At 37.3% G+C, this 17,047-nt stretch overlaps 1 protein-coding gene across 10 annotated transcripts in view, besides 1 other annotated feature; it reads left to right on the top strand.

The window, feature by feature from the left end:
• COL25A1 (collagen type XXV alpha 1 chain) overlaps positions 1-17,047 on the top strand; it is a 493,934-nt gene that overhangs the window by 219,857 nt on the left and 257,030 nt on the right. The window lies entirely within an intron of this gene.
• Positions 3,615-3,909: a silencer, noted in NCBI's record as "tiled region #6815; HepG2 Repressive non-DNase unmatched - State 24:Quies". NCBI's record gives its function as "represses a minimal TATA promoter and a strong SV40 promoter by Sharpr-MPRA in HepG2 cells {active_cell/tissue: HepG2}" and the evidence as "EXISTENCE:reporter gene assay evidence [ECO:0000049][PMID:27701403]".

The raw sequence follows: 17,047 nt of genomic DNA, 5'->3' as shown, positions 1-17,047 counted from the left end.
AAATGTAACCACGAACCTAAAATAAAAGTTTTTTAAAAAAGAAAAAAAGGTGAAAAGGCAACCCACAGAATAGGGGAAGATATTTGCAAATCATATATCCCGCAAGGCATGCGTATCTAGAATATAAAAAGAACTCTTACAACTCAGAAATAAAAAGACAAACCAATTTTAAAATGGTCAAAAGATCTGAATAGACATTTCTCTACAGAAGATAAACAAATGGCCAATAAGCATTTAAAAAGATGCTCAGTTTCATTAGTAATCAGGAAAATGCACATGAAAACCCCAATGAAATACTACCTCACATGCATGAGGACGGCTGTAATAAAAAAGCCAGATCGTAACAAATGTTGGTGAGGATATGGAACCCTCATACATGCTGATGGGACTGTAAATGGTACAGCCTCTTTGGAAAACAGTCTGGCAGCCTCTCAAATAATTAAAGATCAAGTTTACCAAATGACCAGTAATTCCACTTTAGTCTATACCTAAGAGAAATGAAAACATATGTCTATGCAAAAACTTGTACAGAAATGTTCATAGCAGGATTATTTTTAACAGCTAACCAGTATAAACAGCTCAGATGTCCATCAGCTGATGAATGGATGAAGAAAATTTGTATTTGCATACAATGGAATAGTACTCAGCTATGAAATTGAATGTAGTACTGATACAGGCTACAACATGGATGAATCTTGAAACGTTATGCTAGTCATAAAAGACCACATAGTATATGATTCTATTTATATGAAATGTACAGAAAAGACAAATCTGTAGAGATAGAAAAGAGATTAGTGGGCTACGCGCGGTGGCTCACACCTGTAATCCCAGCACTTTTGGGATGCTGAGGCGGGCGGATTACCTAAGGTCAGGAGTTCGAGACCAGCCTGGCTAACATAGTGAAACCCCATCTCTACTAAAAATACAAAAATTAGCCGGGCGTGGTGGCACATGCCTGTAATCCCAGCTGCTCAGAAGGCTGAGGCAGGAGAACTGCTTGAGCCCGGGAGATGGAGTTTGCAGTGAGCCAAGACTGTGCCACTGCATTCCAGCCTGGCCGACAGAATGAGACTCTGTCTCAAAAAAAAAAATAAAAGAAAAAACAAAATAGATTAGTGATTGCCCATGGCTGGGTTGGGGGTGGAGATGGGTTTAGGGGTTGATAGCTAAAGGGTATGGGTTTTCTTTTTGAGGAGATAAAAGTGTTCTAAAATTTACTGTGGTGATGGTTGCACATATCTATGAATATACTAATTATCATTCAGTTGTACACTCTAAATGGATAAACTGTATGGTATGTGAATTACATAGAAATAAAGCTGTTACCAAAAAACACACCAAAATATCAGTTTCCGAAAAAATAGTATAGTTTAGTTAGATCAGTTTGGGTTCATTACTAATGTTTATTAAATATTTCAACTGTAAAAAATGAAAGCAACTGGAATTAATATTCTATCTAATCTAAAGATATTTTCTATAATTTTTGTATATCCCTTGCCCTTTTTTCTGAATAGATGATCTAGAGCACTTTTTTTGATATGAGGTAAAAAACTGTAGTGGGTGATAGAGTATTGAAAGCTGAGCCATGATGGTATATTAGATTGGAAAGACCTTGTACATTGTTCCGGTCAAGCATAAAACATACATTAATCAATTCATACGTGTGAGGCAGAGGAGATGCACAGTAAATTATGATGGTATCTTGGGGGAAATATTGACCATGCATGAAATGCTTCTGAATTCTCCCAGTGACCCTACTCGCCAGCAATGTGACCTTGCGCAGGTTATTTATTCTCTGAAACTTTTTGTTACCTGTTCAATGTGGATACTACTACTCTTCCCAGAACTTTTATGAGGATCAAATTAGATAAGTATATTATGCATCTAGCACAATGCTTGGCGTATCATATGAGCTCAGTAATTTAAGAGAGTTGATTGCAACAACTGAAGTGGGAGATAGCTGAAAATAGAACAGTTTCACTGAGGGTGGAAAGGAAGGAATATATCTAGAAAATTTTCATAAAATTTAGGTGGCAAAATCTAATTATGTACAATTGTGAAAGAATAGTAATAAATAGGAAGCCGTTTAAGTCTGATATATCTAAATAACATAAAAAACAGAGGGCTCCCATGTAATACTCATTAGAACCCCGGGTTCAACATCTTTTGATAATTACATAAAAAATATCACTGCTCATCATTGTTCTTAAGGTAATTAGTGAATTATGTATTTTAAAATTAATCCTATATGTTGGGTTATTTAGGTGAGAAAAATAGAGGAGTTGTTGGAAAAGAACTTGTCAATTTTTACAGTAGAACACTTTGGGTAAGGGTATCACAGACTTACGGAGTCCTACAGGTGATTTATCCCTTGCTTCTTATGTAATTTAATATTTTTTTCTATTAGGATTAACCTTCTTAGGTAAATATTGTATTACTGTATTTATTATTATTATATTTTTAAAATCCATGGAGAAACAGTTTAGTATAACGGTTAAGACCAAAGACTCTAGAGCCAGACTTCCTAACTCTACTACTTAATAATTAGTTAAGAAATTATTTAACTTCACTATGCCTCAGTTTTCTTATCTATAAAATGGGAATAACAGGAGTACCTATCATATAAATTGAGGTAAGGATTACAAGAGTGATTAATATCTATAATAGCACAGTACCTGGCACATGGCTTATGCTACGTGTTGTTAATGGTGGTGTGTGGTGGGGGTAATGATAACGACAGCTCAATTTGGTGATGACAGTTTGCAAACAGAAGTTGGCACAGCCCAATTCCTTGAGTAAAGCACTCAACTGATATTAGTATAAACACCTCTATACTGACTGGAAAGAAAGCCATTGACTCACTTCCTGTTTCCATTACTTTTGTAATCTGAGTTTAAATTACGTATCAATGGTTGCTATTCCATATTGCCCCTGTAGTCTCTAATTATTTCAGTAGATATGATGAATTTCTCAAAACAGCACCAGTTTTAACTCGCTTGAACTCTTAGAAATGTAAATAAATAAGACTTTTCAGGAAGACTGGAAGCCTGTGACACAAAAATGTGCTTATCAGCTCCAGAATGCTGGAAAACTACTCTAAATGGATAGATTTTTTTTTCTTAAGTTTTGCAGTGAAGAGATTCAATTTTCTCAGCTGCTGCCTCCTATAAGCCAGAATTAGCTCCTTTTATTGTGTGCACTTTTTAGCTATCTGAGCTTGAATTTATTCTAGCTCTTATTATAGGTGTTTGTATATCTCTGTGTACATACTGAAATCCTCACCTGGATAAGGGCGATGTGTTATTTTTCAGCTTTTCATCTCAGGACTTAGCACAGTACCTAGCCCATAAAATGACAACATTTTTTGTTGTTGAATAAACGAATGTATGACTCAATTCAGAAGGATTGCTCAAATGGCTATAAAAAATTTTCAGTTAATACTAAACACTATGCTACACAGTTAAACTGGATTGATTAATGGTAAATAGTGTAGAATATTCTTCAATAGAACAATGAGAGCATTCAGCTGTCCAGCTGGAAATCTGTCTGGACACTGAAAACAAATGGAAATCTTGGGGAGAAAAAAAATTCACCTAAAAGATTGGTGAAGCTTTACTTTAGTTCAGTCTGAATCTTGGGATTATTATGAAACTGTATTTCAGAATGATCTGTCTTATTTAACACCATTCTTTCACTCCCCTTCTGAAAAAGCACAGTAACCTAGATCATCAATCTGTTTCCAGAAGCATCAGCAGAAATTGTAAGATTCTTCTGACCACAAGACTCTGTAGGCTTGCCAGTGAAAACATGGATTTTTTTTCCTTGCCTTTTGCACTTGGCATTCCATGTAGTAAGCAGAAACAAATATCAGGATTCAAAGGCTCTCTAGGCTACTCTTTCCCCAGAACTCACATTCAGAAATGCATCTTTGGAAGCCAGTGTGCTGTAGCTGCTAATCATACCAGGAAGGTGTTCAGGATTACAAGGGCAAGTAGGAAGTCTGCCCAGGCTGCGGATTTGCAGGCACTTCACAGTGTTGCTACTTCTGTCACAACACAGTCCATGCTAGATTTCTGCCTTGCAATTCATCTAGTTTTTCCCCTATGGATTTTAACATTTCACCTAGAAATAACTTTCCTGCATATTATAAGACCTATTTAAACATTTGGATGGGCTTTTGTGTAAATAGTGTCTTTTTTTCTATATTCCATTTTAATAAATGTGTATTCTTAATCTGATGCCAGAAAGAGCTGTGAAAAGCAGCTTTATGGTAAATATTGTTTAAACATGCTTTTCTAAACTTTTATTTTTTGAGAAAAGCCTGCATGACAGTTTTGGTGATGCAAATGCTATATGTCATTTATTTTATTTAGTTTAAAGAAAAATGCAGACTTGAGAGTATCTGGCGATTTATGATAGATAACCTCAAAAATTATATAAAGTACTGCTGAAATTCACATGGTTAACTTAATTACACTGTGGTAAATACTCAGAGGGAGCATCATAAGTATCGGAGGCTACTTTTAAATAGAACCAAGATCCCTGACTCTTATTTAAAAAGCAAAGCAAAACAAAAACCTTCAACACATTCTAGGAAATGAGTTATGGGTGATGTTATTCCAGTGTTGTTTTGAGTTTAGGAAGTTATAGGAAAATTAGCAGAAAATTAGAGTTTAATAGAGAAACCCAGGCACTGCAAAAATCTTCTTAAAAGACAAACAAGTCAAGAGGCTATCTGGACAGACCCGGATAATGGGTGACATTGTAAGAGCAGCCGAGAAAAGATAAGAAAACACCCCTACTACTACGAACAGACCACTTCTATCCTCTCTCCATCCCCAAAATTATCCTTTATGGGTGATGGCCAAAGAATTGAATACCTATATTTCAAACTACTCTGAATGTGAACATTTCTGTCACCCAAAAAGCAGCGAGTAGGGAGATGACCCTTGTCAGAGTTATAAATGACCTCCTCACATTGTGGAGAAATTTTACTTTCTCCTGCAGTCTTATCCTTCGGCACTTGATCTTAGTACAGCTTTCAACACCATCTATTATGACATAGCTTGAAAATGCTTGAGGGTGTTTGCCTTTCTGTCTGTTTCCATTTTAAAATAGTTTCATTCTTACCCTTCAGACGGTTGACATCATGTATCCATGGCTGCCCATTGCTCTGGGGCTAAAATGTTTGAAGCTGGTGTTCATTGGGCTTCTAATACACACTCATAGCTATTTAAAATTTTTAGTCTGCCTTTAGGCCTAGTACCTGCTAGACAGAATAGTGACTGTCAGTGTTAGCTGAAGAAAGTAATGTTTAAAATAATGTTGCCGCTTTTGTTCCTTAGCAGGAGTGTTGGGGGCGGGGGGGTGGTGGTGGGAAGAGGCAATAGATGGAAGGCTAGTTTTGTTTTTATTAGCATTATGGAAATAGAGATCTGAAAGAAATTCCACAAGCTGATAGTTTATCCCATGTTCCCTAGAGCAGTGCTTGGTCTTGTGCTTAAGTATTGCTGTATAGATATGGATTCCACAATCTCTCATTTTCTACTGTTTCCATTCTAAAAGTTTATTGTTTTTAAAAATTTTCCTTTGTATGACTTTAATGCGTCCTGCTTTGGTTTTCCATTTTCATTTAGCCCATGGTGGTCACTTATCAAACCCTTTACTTATTGTTTGGTGTTGTGCCAATTAGCTTTTCTGATGATTTGCTTTAAACACAGCAAGAGCAATCATTGCAGGACCCTTTACTGCAGAGGTCCCCAGTCCCTTCAAAGTTCGGGTATCGGTCCATGGCCTCTTAGAAACTGGGCCTCACAGCAAAGGAGGTGAGCAGCAGGCAGGCAAGCCAGTGAAGCCTAATCTGTATTTGTAGCCACTCTCCATTGCTTGCATTACTGCCTGAGCGCCACCTCCTGTCAAATCAGCAATGGCATTAGATTCTCATAGGAGCATGAATCCTATTGTGAACTGTGCATGTGAGGGATCTAGGTTGTGCGTTCCTTATGAGAATCTAATGCCTGATGATCTGTCACTGTTTCCCATCACCCCCAGATGGGACCATCTAGTTGCAGGAAAACAAGCTTAGGGCTCCCACTGATTCTACATTATGGCGAGTTGTATAATTATTTTGTTATCTATCACCATATAATAAAGTGCACAATAAATGTAATGTTTTTGAATCATCCCCAAACCACCCCTGGCCACTGGGTCCATGGAAAAATTCTCTTCTACAAAACCAGTCTCTGGTACCAAAAAGGTTGGGACCACTGCTCTACTGTACTTACTAGTGTAGCAGATATTCTTATTAGGAATCACATGCAAAGTGTTCTTCATTGTTGTCTCAGGAATCAGCAGAACACCAGGGTTAGCACATAAAAAGCACTCGATAAGTGATAAATTGATTAATACATTAATAAGCTACTAGGGTTAATAAAAGTTGAAAGTGGGACAAAGAACAAATTCCCTCTTAAAGAGAGAGTTAATTTTACTGTGAAGCACAAAGCAGATATTGCTGATATAGTTTAAAACACCTAAAAAATCATATTCATATGACCCTTCAGAATTCTGATGAGTGTAGATATATAGTTGTTCCTTGGTGTCAGTGGGAAACAGGTTCCAGGACCTCCCATGGATACCAAAATCCATGGATGCTCAAGTTTCTGATACAAAATGGAGTAATATTTGCATATAAGCTATGCATATTCTCCCTTACACATTAAATCATCTCTAGATTACTTATAATACCTAATACAACATAAGTGCTATGTAAATAATTGTTATACTATACTGTTTAGGGAATAATGATAAAAAAGAAAAGTCTGCACATGTTCACTACAGATGCAATTTTTTTCCCAAATATTTTCTATCTGTGGTTGGTTGAATCTGCGATACAGAATGCATGGATACTGAGGGTTGACTGTATTTATTGTTAATGCTTAAACATTTGAAATATGCATTGTCAGTTAGAATTCTCAGGAAACACTCGATGTTTTGGTATTTATGTGGGCTTTTAAGTGCATACATAAGATCGTATAGATTGTTAATTTGGCTAAGTCTGTGTGGACTATATGGTGGGTAAAATATACACAGGAAGTGAAAGGCATAAAATTCTTAATATATTTTTATTACATATTGTGTTAACTTTTTTCCTTTGGGGCTACATTTTTTCAATGTTAATAGATGTCTTTGAGAAAGAAAGTATAATCTAAAAGTGTGTACTCTCCCAAAATTTTGTGAGAAGATCTAATAGGTTAAAAAATAAAGTTTTAATATACTTTGATATTTCATCTATTTTGTCATTCTATTTTATTCATATCACATAATAGCAATTCTTATGATCATTTCCCCCTTCAAACGTGACTCTAGTCATGTCTTGTCTTTAATTCCAAGTATATAGAATAACTTAAAATTTCTTCTCTGTTTGTATATACATCTAGCTCTATTAATAAAACACTTCCAATTTTAAAGTATATGTATTTAGATAACTAATTTAGTAATTATTTTATTATAATAGGAAAGAAAGTGCCTACATATCACTTGAAAATTATTTAAAAGAACAAAATAATGAGACTAACAGTGATATTCTGTTCTGGTGTTAAAACTTCCACCATAGATTCTAGCAACTCAGAAAATGCTGATGTTTCCTGGATTTTGAATTGGTACTTAACTGTCATATTCTCATCATAAAACTGTGAGATGATGTCATCTGGGGAATATTATCTGCTTTTAGAGGACTTGTGTTACTGAGAAACTTAATAACCTATTTTGGTGAAATTACCTTTTCTTTGTTGTTTTGCTTCTTTGTTAGGGATACATGCAATACAGAGCTCACCTAACTTTAGCATTGTGTTTTGGGGGACCTATTTTGTGTACAAATGTGTGAGTTTATGTTACCAATTCTTAAGTCATGCGCATACTTCTTACAATCTTATTAAGAAACTTTATGCTTTTCTGGTGTCTGAGTGGTATCAATGGCACTCTAGTAACTAAAAATTTGCTAAAACAAGCTTAGTTTTCTTAAATGAAACATCTATGATTTTCTTAGCTGTATGATTCCATTGAATGCCTAAATGGTGGCACTATTATAAATGAGTAAATCATTTAATCATATTCTCATAATTAATGAGAATAATACACAGAACTCCCTTCGGATAGTATGTTAATTTCATTACTTAAACTAAGTCACATCATCAGGAATCCAACTGCCTATATAAATTTCATACTGTTTAAGGAGCTTGGGAGAACTCTTTGGATTATATACATTAGCTAACCCTGTTTAACATTTCATATAATTTGGCATATGAATGAATGTTGTACATTTCATTTTCTACGACAATGGGAATTTTTAAGAGTAGTTGCTTATTCTTTCTTCAAAGCAAAGAAAGCCAATAATACTCTCAGGTGGGGGGACTAGAATTGTTTATTTTTTCTGGTGCCATTTTGATTTATTTCTCAACTAGTCCAAACAGCAACACAAACATTGAGTCTGCCTGAATCAAGGGTCCCCAGTCCTTGGGCCACTGACCAGTCCTGCTCCTTGGCCTGTTAGGAACTGGGCTGCACAGCAGAAGGCAATCAGTGGGTGAGTGAACATTACTACCTGAGCCCCACCTCCTGTCACATCAGTGGTGGCATTAGATTCTTATAGGAGCGGGAATCCTACTGTGGAACTGCACATGTGAGGGATCTAGGTTGCATGCTCCTTACGAGAATCTAATGCCTGATGATCTGAGGTGGAACAGTTTGATCCGAAAACCACAGCCACCCACCCTTGTCAAAAAATTGTCTTCCACGAAACTGGTCCCTGGTGCCAAAAAGGTTGGGGACCACTGGCCTAAATAATCTACATCTTTTTGTGGGTTGAATGATTAGAGTCTGGGCAAAAGGACATTGTTTTTGTTTTTCTATTTATTAAACTGTTATTTTTAGTTGTGGCCTTGTGTCATGGAAATGACATTGAGAAATTAGTAGAATCCAACTAGTGAAATGCCAAAAAATTAGTAGACAGAAATAGTGAAATTAGTAGAATTTGGCAAAATAATAGAGACCTGAAGATATGATCTATGAGTAGATATTAAATGCAGTGTTTTCAGCCTCTAAGGAAAGCAGCCAGGAAAGATATGATAGCATCTCAAAGTATGTAAATTATTGCTACAATGAGTAGAGGAACATTGATTATCAGTAGACCACACAAACAGATGAAGCTACAATATCCCAAAGGATACATTTTGTTGTGCTTCAGAGATAAACCTTAAATATCTAGCAATCTGAAATGTTATATTATTAAGCCAAAATCCCAGGGGGCACTTATTAAAGAAGATCTGCAGCGATTGTGTTATTATTTTTGAGTAAATACACACCAGGTGGAGGAGCCAGCTCAAAGGATGAACATGAGTTTTGTCCTTTTGGAAATCTCTGGTCTAATGGATCTGTACATTCTCATGATGCCCATCATGGAGGTTATTTCTAGAGGTATTTCCAAATCCTAGAGTGATTTTAAAGGAAGATTAGCAGCCAAAGTTACATTCAGGATTTGAAAGGTGTTTGAAGTGCTCATTTATTCTGAGGTAAGAGGCCAAGGTCTTGGTTTCTCTCCCTCCACCATGCCTCCCCTCCTGACAACCACCAAACACCCATGCACATGCGCCCCTCCCCCACACACACATACACATGCACACACACATTATCAGTATCAGAGGTTCTGAAATAGGCCAGATTGTGTGTATAACAGTATAGTGATCCCATCTGGAAACTGAAGGAATAATGGTAAATCTGTCCTCAGAGAAAAGTCTCAACCTGATAAAACCTGATTTCAGGGACCAGCCCAGAACACAGTGGAGGAATGGAATAAGCCATTAAATCCCACACTGTGCTGCAGAGTCAGGGCAACTCATGTTGGAGGTTGGAATGGGGTGGTGCGGAGCAGTATAAAGTTTTATGTGGGCCCCCTGTAGAGTTATGCAACTGATTTAACACATCTGGGCAAGGAATAGCTTGGCAGCTGTAGTGCTGATTGCGAAATTTATGATTGAGTAATAAGACATCTTGGTGAGAGTGGAGATGCATAGTGGTCATGGTGTTGTCATCTCAGAGCCTTCAAAAGGTTTCAGAAAGAAAACAGAAAACTTGCAGAAGGTTCTGCAAGCTAAGAATGTGGGTGAGTCTGTGTTACAGACCTTAGAAAGGACAGAAGTGGTGAAATCACTGTTAGCCACCAGATTTGGGGGACCCATATTGATTCTATAATTACAGGGAGAACAGAGTTCTAAAATCTGGGATCCCTGTGATATGACTGAGTTACATTTTACATGAGAAAGAAAACATCAATGATAATAGTAACCACAAGACCAAATTTCAAAATAACAGATTTCTCATTGTTTGACTCTCTCAAAACTCATCCATACAAAATACATAAACTGAGCTTATGAAAGAGGAAATGTAACTATTAAATAAAAAATGTTCAACCTAATTAGGAAGGAAGAAAACGTGAGTTAAATTAAGGTAACATCGTTCATCTGTTAACAGAAATTTGAAAATTAATGAAATTATCCAGTGGTGACATAGGTATGGAGACTCAAAGTATTATATATTTCAATACATAATAGTCATTATGAATTAGTATATATATTTTGGAAAGCAATTAGGCAGTATATGTCAATTTCCACAAAATGGATTTTCGACTCCTCTTAGCCCAGGAGTTGTATTTCTGAAACTTCATCCCAAGGAAACAATCCCTATTATGAAAAAAGAAAACAAAAACCCTATCTGCACGAAAATGTTCCTCATGTTAATAGTAGCCAAAATGTGTGCATGTGTCTTTATAGCAGCATGATTTATAATCCTTTGGGTATATACCCAGTAATGGGATGGCTGGGTCAAATGGTATTTCTAGTTCTAGATCCTTGAGGAATTGCCACACTGTCTTCCACGATGGTTGAACTAGTTTACAGTCCCACCAACAGTGTAAAAGTGTTCCTATTTCTCCACATCCTCACCAGCACCTGTTGTTTCCTGACTTTTTAATGATCGCCATTCTAACTGGTGTGAGATGGTATCTCATTGTGGTTTTGATTTGCATTTCTCTGATGGCCAGTGATGATGAGCATTTTTTCATGTGTCTTTTGGCTGCATAAATGTCTTCTTTTGAGAAGTGTCTGTTCATAACCTTTGCCCACTTTTTGATGGGGTTGTTTGTTTTTTTCTTGTAAATTTGTTTGAGTTCATTGTAGATTCTGAATATAAGCCCTTTGTCAGATGAGTAGACTGCAAAAATTTTCTCCCATTCTGTAGGTTGCCTGTTCACTCTGATGGTGGTTTCTTTTGCTGTGCAGAAGCTCTTGAGTTTAGTTAGATCCCATTTGTCAATTTTGGCTTTTGTTGCCATTGCTTTTGGTGTTTTAGACATGAAGTCCTTGCCCATGCCTATGTCCTGAATGGTATTGCCTAGGTTTTCTTCTAGGGTTTTTATGGTTTTAGGTCTAACATGTAAGTCTTTAATCCATCTTGAATTAATTTTTGTATAAGGTATAAGGAAGGGATCCAGTTTCAGCTTTCTCCATATGGCTAGCCAGTTTTCCCAGCACCATTTATTAAATAGGGAATCCTTTCCCCATTTCTTGTTTTTGTCAGGTTTGTCAAAGATCAGATGGTTGTAGATGTGTGGTATTATTTCTGAGGGCTCTGTTCTGTTCCATTGATCTATATCTCTGTTTTGGTACCAGTACCATGTTGTTTTGGTTACTGTAGCCTTGTGGTATAGTTTGAAGTCAGGTAGCGTGATGCCTCCAGCTTTATTCTTTTGGCTTAGGATTGTCTTGGCAATGCGGGCTCTTTTTCAAAGACTTGGAATCAACCCAAATGTCCATCAATGATAGGCTGGATTAAGAAAATGTGGCACATATACACCATGGAATACTATGCAGCCATAAAAAAGGATGAGCTCGTGTCCTTTGTTGGGACGTGGATGAAGCTGGAAACCATAATTCTCAGCAAACTATCGCAAGGACAAAAAACCAAACACCGCATGTTCTCACTCATAGTTGGGAATTGAACAATGAGAACACTTGGACATAGGAAGGGGAACATCACACACCGGGCCTGTTGTGGGGTGGGGGGAGGGGGGAGGGATAGCATTAGGAGTTATACCTAATGTAAATGACGAGTTAATGGGTGCAGCACACCAACATGGCACATGTATACATATGTAACAAACCTGCACGTTGTGCACATGTACCCTAGAACTTAAAGTATAATAAAAAAAGAAATAGTAGCCAAAATGTGTGGGCAACCAAAATGTTCAACAGTAAAATCAGGATCATGGATTTTGTAATTATTCTAAAATGAAACATCTACTTAACCAAATATGATTAAAGATCATGAATATGAAGATTGACATAACATGGAAAGGGCTTATGATGTGGGATTAAGTAAAAAAAAAAAAGATTAAAAAATGTTATGCACATGAAATAAACTTATCAAATACATGCTCATAAAAGTACACTGGTGCCAAACAATAGTTGTGTCAGCAAAGTGAGAGGGTTTTTTTTTTGTTTTTTGAGACAGAGTCTCGCTCTGTCTCCCAGGCTGGAATGATCTCGACTCTCTGCAGCCTCCAACTCTTGGGTTCATGCCATTCTCCTGCCTCAGCCTCCCGAGTAGCCGGGACTAGAGGCATACACCCCATGCCCGGCTAGTTTTTTTTTATATTTTTAGTAGAGACGGGGTTTCACCTTGTTGGCCAGGCTGGTTCCGATCTCCTGACCTTGTGATCTGCCCACCTTGGCCTCCCAAAGTGCTGGGATTACAGGTGAGAGGGTTTAAAAAAAAAAAAAAAATTATTGCTCTTCTTAATTTTTGAAATTTCCTATTATATAGTTATCTTGCTTTTATTTTCAAAAATTGTATATTTTAATATTTAGCTATTTAAGGTAAGTAGCATATGCTTATTTCATATATGAATAAAGAAAGTGAGTTTTCAAATGTTTAGAAGCCAGCAGCTTCCACATTTCCTGGACAATTCCAGTTCTCATGATTTTCTCCAGGAAAAGAAAATAGCGCCATAGAGGGATATGAAGATTTCATTTACAGAGAGCCCAGAAAGTGTTCTTGTCTTGGCTTGCACTGCACGTCCCAATTCTTTATTGTTCCACCTTCCTTTTAGATGTAGTCACAAATGTTTGCCATTCAGCTTTTGACTTCAGCATACTTACACTGCTGGGACTGGCTTAAATGATCATGGTCCCTGATGTTCTACATTGAAGTAGTAGTTAAAAGTTGACGTGAAATTCCACGTACTTTAAAACTCATTAGGGGCTGGACATGGTGGCTCTCACCCAGCACTTTGAGAGGACTGCTTGAGGCCACGAGTTTGAGACCAGCCTGGGCAGCATAGCAAGACACCTTGTCTACTAAAAATAAAAATAAATCAGCTGGCTGTGGTGGTGCATGCCTGCTGTCCCAACTACTGGGGAGGCTCAGGTGAGAGAATTGATTGAGCCAGGGAGGTCGAGGCTGCAGTGAGCCATGATCATGCCACTGTACTCCAGCTTGGGTGACAGAATGAGATCCTGTCTCTTAAAAAAAAAAAAAGAAAACTAATTAGGTATTGTTAATTTTAAATTGCCTTTTTTTTGGCAAGTCTGCAAGAGTTTTCTGCTCAGCCAAAAAAAAATTTTTAAAGTTTAAAATATTTAAATATTAAATATTTTAAAAATATTTGAATTTTATAGAGTGGTTAAATTATAAAGTGAAGAAATTCATATTTCTTGAGGGCTTAATATGTGTCATAGCCTGTGCTATTCATATCTCACCTCATTCTTCATCATAATTATTTCCTCTTATAGGACCTGACTATGTCTTTCATAGGACTAATCTCAGTATGTAAATATGTGACATATTTCTTGTTTTCCTTGTCTCCTGTCTCCTCTGTTTGTATGTAAGCTCCATTGTAAAGGCTCTGTGCATCTTTTCTCTGTTTTAACTGTACCACCGAACCCAGAGCCAGGCCATAGTAAGGTCTCTAATTATTTTTGAATAAGTAAATACTTCGTGAGGTCATATTTAGTATTTCCATTTTATACATGAGGAAACTGAGAGTCACACAGTTGCCACATTTAGAAAATCACATATTTAGTGGTGATAGAATTATAATCCAGGCTTATAAGCACCAGAACATATTATCTTTTCATTTGGCCATGCTGCTGGTTTTATGTTTTAAACTACTATATAGGATTATCAGATTCATTATAGGAGATTTAGAAGTAAACTTCCTTTGACAAACTGACAATTTTTAAAATCCTGAGTTTGTTTGCTTTCCCTCCGATTTTGCTCTCTCTCTTCTCTCCTTTTCCCTACCTCCCTCCTCTTCCCTGCTTCCCTCCCTCCCTTCCTTTCCTCTTTCCTTCCTTCCTCTCTCCCTCCCTTTCAGTCTGGCTGTCAAAAATGGTAAATCTGTTGCATGTGCACCAGGTCCTTAGACTAAATATCCTGCTTACTCATTACTCATGTTTCTTTTTTGCTTTTATCTTTTCATTCAACTGTAATAATCCAATGTTGTGTTGAGTTTGGGGAGCCTTTAATATGTCATTAGGAAGACTTTGATAAAAGAAAAGGGCAGATGTCCCACCTGTGAAAAAGCAATAATACAGGAGATTAGTTTCCCAAGTCCAGCATGGTGCTTACTGCACTGGCCAGCTTCCAAGCTACTGAAGATATGCACAGCTGGCCTTGGAGGAGCCACCGAAAGCAATGGCACGCACCCCAGTAGACTTCTGGTTATTGTGTAATGAGAACTGAACTTGATTTTCGATTATTGTTGCATCTTTGACATTCCTTTGGTGAATCAGGCCACATGATACCCAGTATGGATTACCCAATGAAGTCACTATCTCATTGACTTTGGTTCTGAGATCTGACCCTCATGATTTCCCAACACATACTTTAACTGTGTTGAATTCTATTGGGAAAACTGTTCATTTCTCTAATCCCTTTTCTTCCATCTTTTCCTCCTGTTCCATTTTGCTTCTTTTCCTCCTTAAATCATTACCATAGTCTTGGCCTCAAAAAAATCAGCATAAGCCAAAGGCAGTCTCTTGAGGGAGATATTACTTTCATGTGTGGCCTAAACTTAGTACATAAACTACTCCCTGGAAAAGAAAACAAAAACTGTTCACCAGGAGATGGAGAATATATTCTTCTGTAAAGAAATTTTTCCACTGTGCTTCCTGATATCCTAAATGTTCCCCAACACGATGAAACAAAATTTAGGTTCCTGTCTGGCACCAAAATATTGTCCAATGGAAATATTTTTAAAAACACTCTGTGACTGTAATTTTTAAATGCAGTGAAGACAAAAATATTTTCAATTTTTTTTTTCCTTAGACATCAAAGAGTTTCACTGTGTTTAGATTAAAAGTGCTGGGGTAGGGGACCCCGGTGCTCAATGGAGTCTCAGCCATTATATACATTCAAAAAGTATGGGTATTTGAAGAATATAAGTTATTGAGATTATTTCTATAGTGAGTCAGATGAAAGGGTTTTTTCTTAATGTTGATATTTTTATATCCATAGGATGTTCTCTTATAAAGCTTATTATGCTTCCAGAGGACAGTGGCAGGTGTAAGACACGAAGCACAACTAACTCAAAAGAGTTCCCTCTTGGGACCGTTAGTTCACCATTGCTATCTTCCTATGTGAAAGCCAAAAAAAACCTTGAAGGCCACATGTGTCTATATGAAAATCCTTATAAGAAGTTGCAAATATTGTGTAAGAATGAGAATAATTTTATCTGAAAATATTATATTATCAAAGTGACATGGTGAAATTTGATTTTGGGGCTGGGTGTAGTGGCTCACACCTGTAATCTCAGCATTTTGGGAGGCTGAGTTGGGAGGATTGCCTGAGGCAGGATCACTAGAGACTAGCCTGGGCAACATAGTGAGACCCCATCTCTACTAAAAGATAGCAATAAAAAAATTAGCCAGGTGTGGTGTCATGCACCTGTAGTCCTAGCTACATGGGAGAGTGAGGCAGGAGGATCCCTTGAACCCAGGATTTTGAGGCTGCAGTGAGCTATGATCATGCCATGGCACTCCAGCCTGGGAGTGCTGGAGACAGAGCAAGATCCTGTCTCAAAAAAAGGAAGAAAGGAATTTGATTATTTTGGAGTTCGTTCATCCATAGGTTCACCAAGTATCTATTTATAATCTACCATTCTCCTAGGCACTAGAGTTCAAAGATGAATTAGATTGGTTCTCTGTTTTTAAGTGCTTGAGAATAGTAGATGAATGCTGACTTACAAAGAAATAACTGCAATACAACATGATATGTGCTGTAATGATGATGGAGATAGGCAGGGTAGTATTCAAAGTATTAATCAAATTGCCTTTCAGCAAATCATAGTGGATGCCAGTCTCAATGCTGGAACAGAGTTTGGGAGACCTCCTGATGGGCCAGGTGTTTTCTTCCTTGAGTACCCATTTTGTGTGGCATTTCAGGGGCTCTGGGGAAGGGACTAAGATGGTCAGGTATTAGAAAAAGAGGCACTTGGGGTGAGTGGTGCTTCTAAAACTGACCAACAACCAGTGTGGTAGTGCTGATGTGTACCAGCTGCAAATCAGCTCTGGATTTAGGGTAATCATTTCATTCATTTAAATATGAATGTCCAGATATTTCCATCACTATTATTCTAGATTGCAGTCTATTTTAGCTTCACTGAGTACATTTCTGCAGCTGTCACTAAGCTTTGCTTCAAATGATGTATGCACCACCCCAGGGCAGGTGGGGCATGTAAAGAAGACTTTGATGGGGCTCTGCTCAGCTCCAGGTTATGGATTTAAATGACCGATAGCATGTGTGGGTTCACCAAAGGCATTACTACTACAAAAGGGTAGTTATGTGCTACCTTTAATCTGACCATATTGCATTTCATCATTGGTTGCTGCAGTGAAATAAAAAACCTTGCCATACAGTGAATACTTTAATCTGTCATCACAAGGAAGGTCTTGTCAATTGTGGCTCAAAATCTAGGACTAATGACCAGAGATAGTCA

This window comes from Homo sapiens, chromosome 4, assembly GCF_000001405.40.
Source record: "Homo sapiens chromosome 4, GRCh38.p14 Primary Assembly".
NCBI lineage: Eukaryota > Metazoa > Chordata > Mammalia > Primates > Hominidae > Homo > Homo sapiens.
Note: the sequence above shows the minus strand (reverse complement) of the source record. Positions and strands in the feature narration are given on the sequence as shown.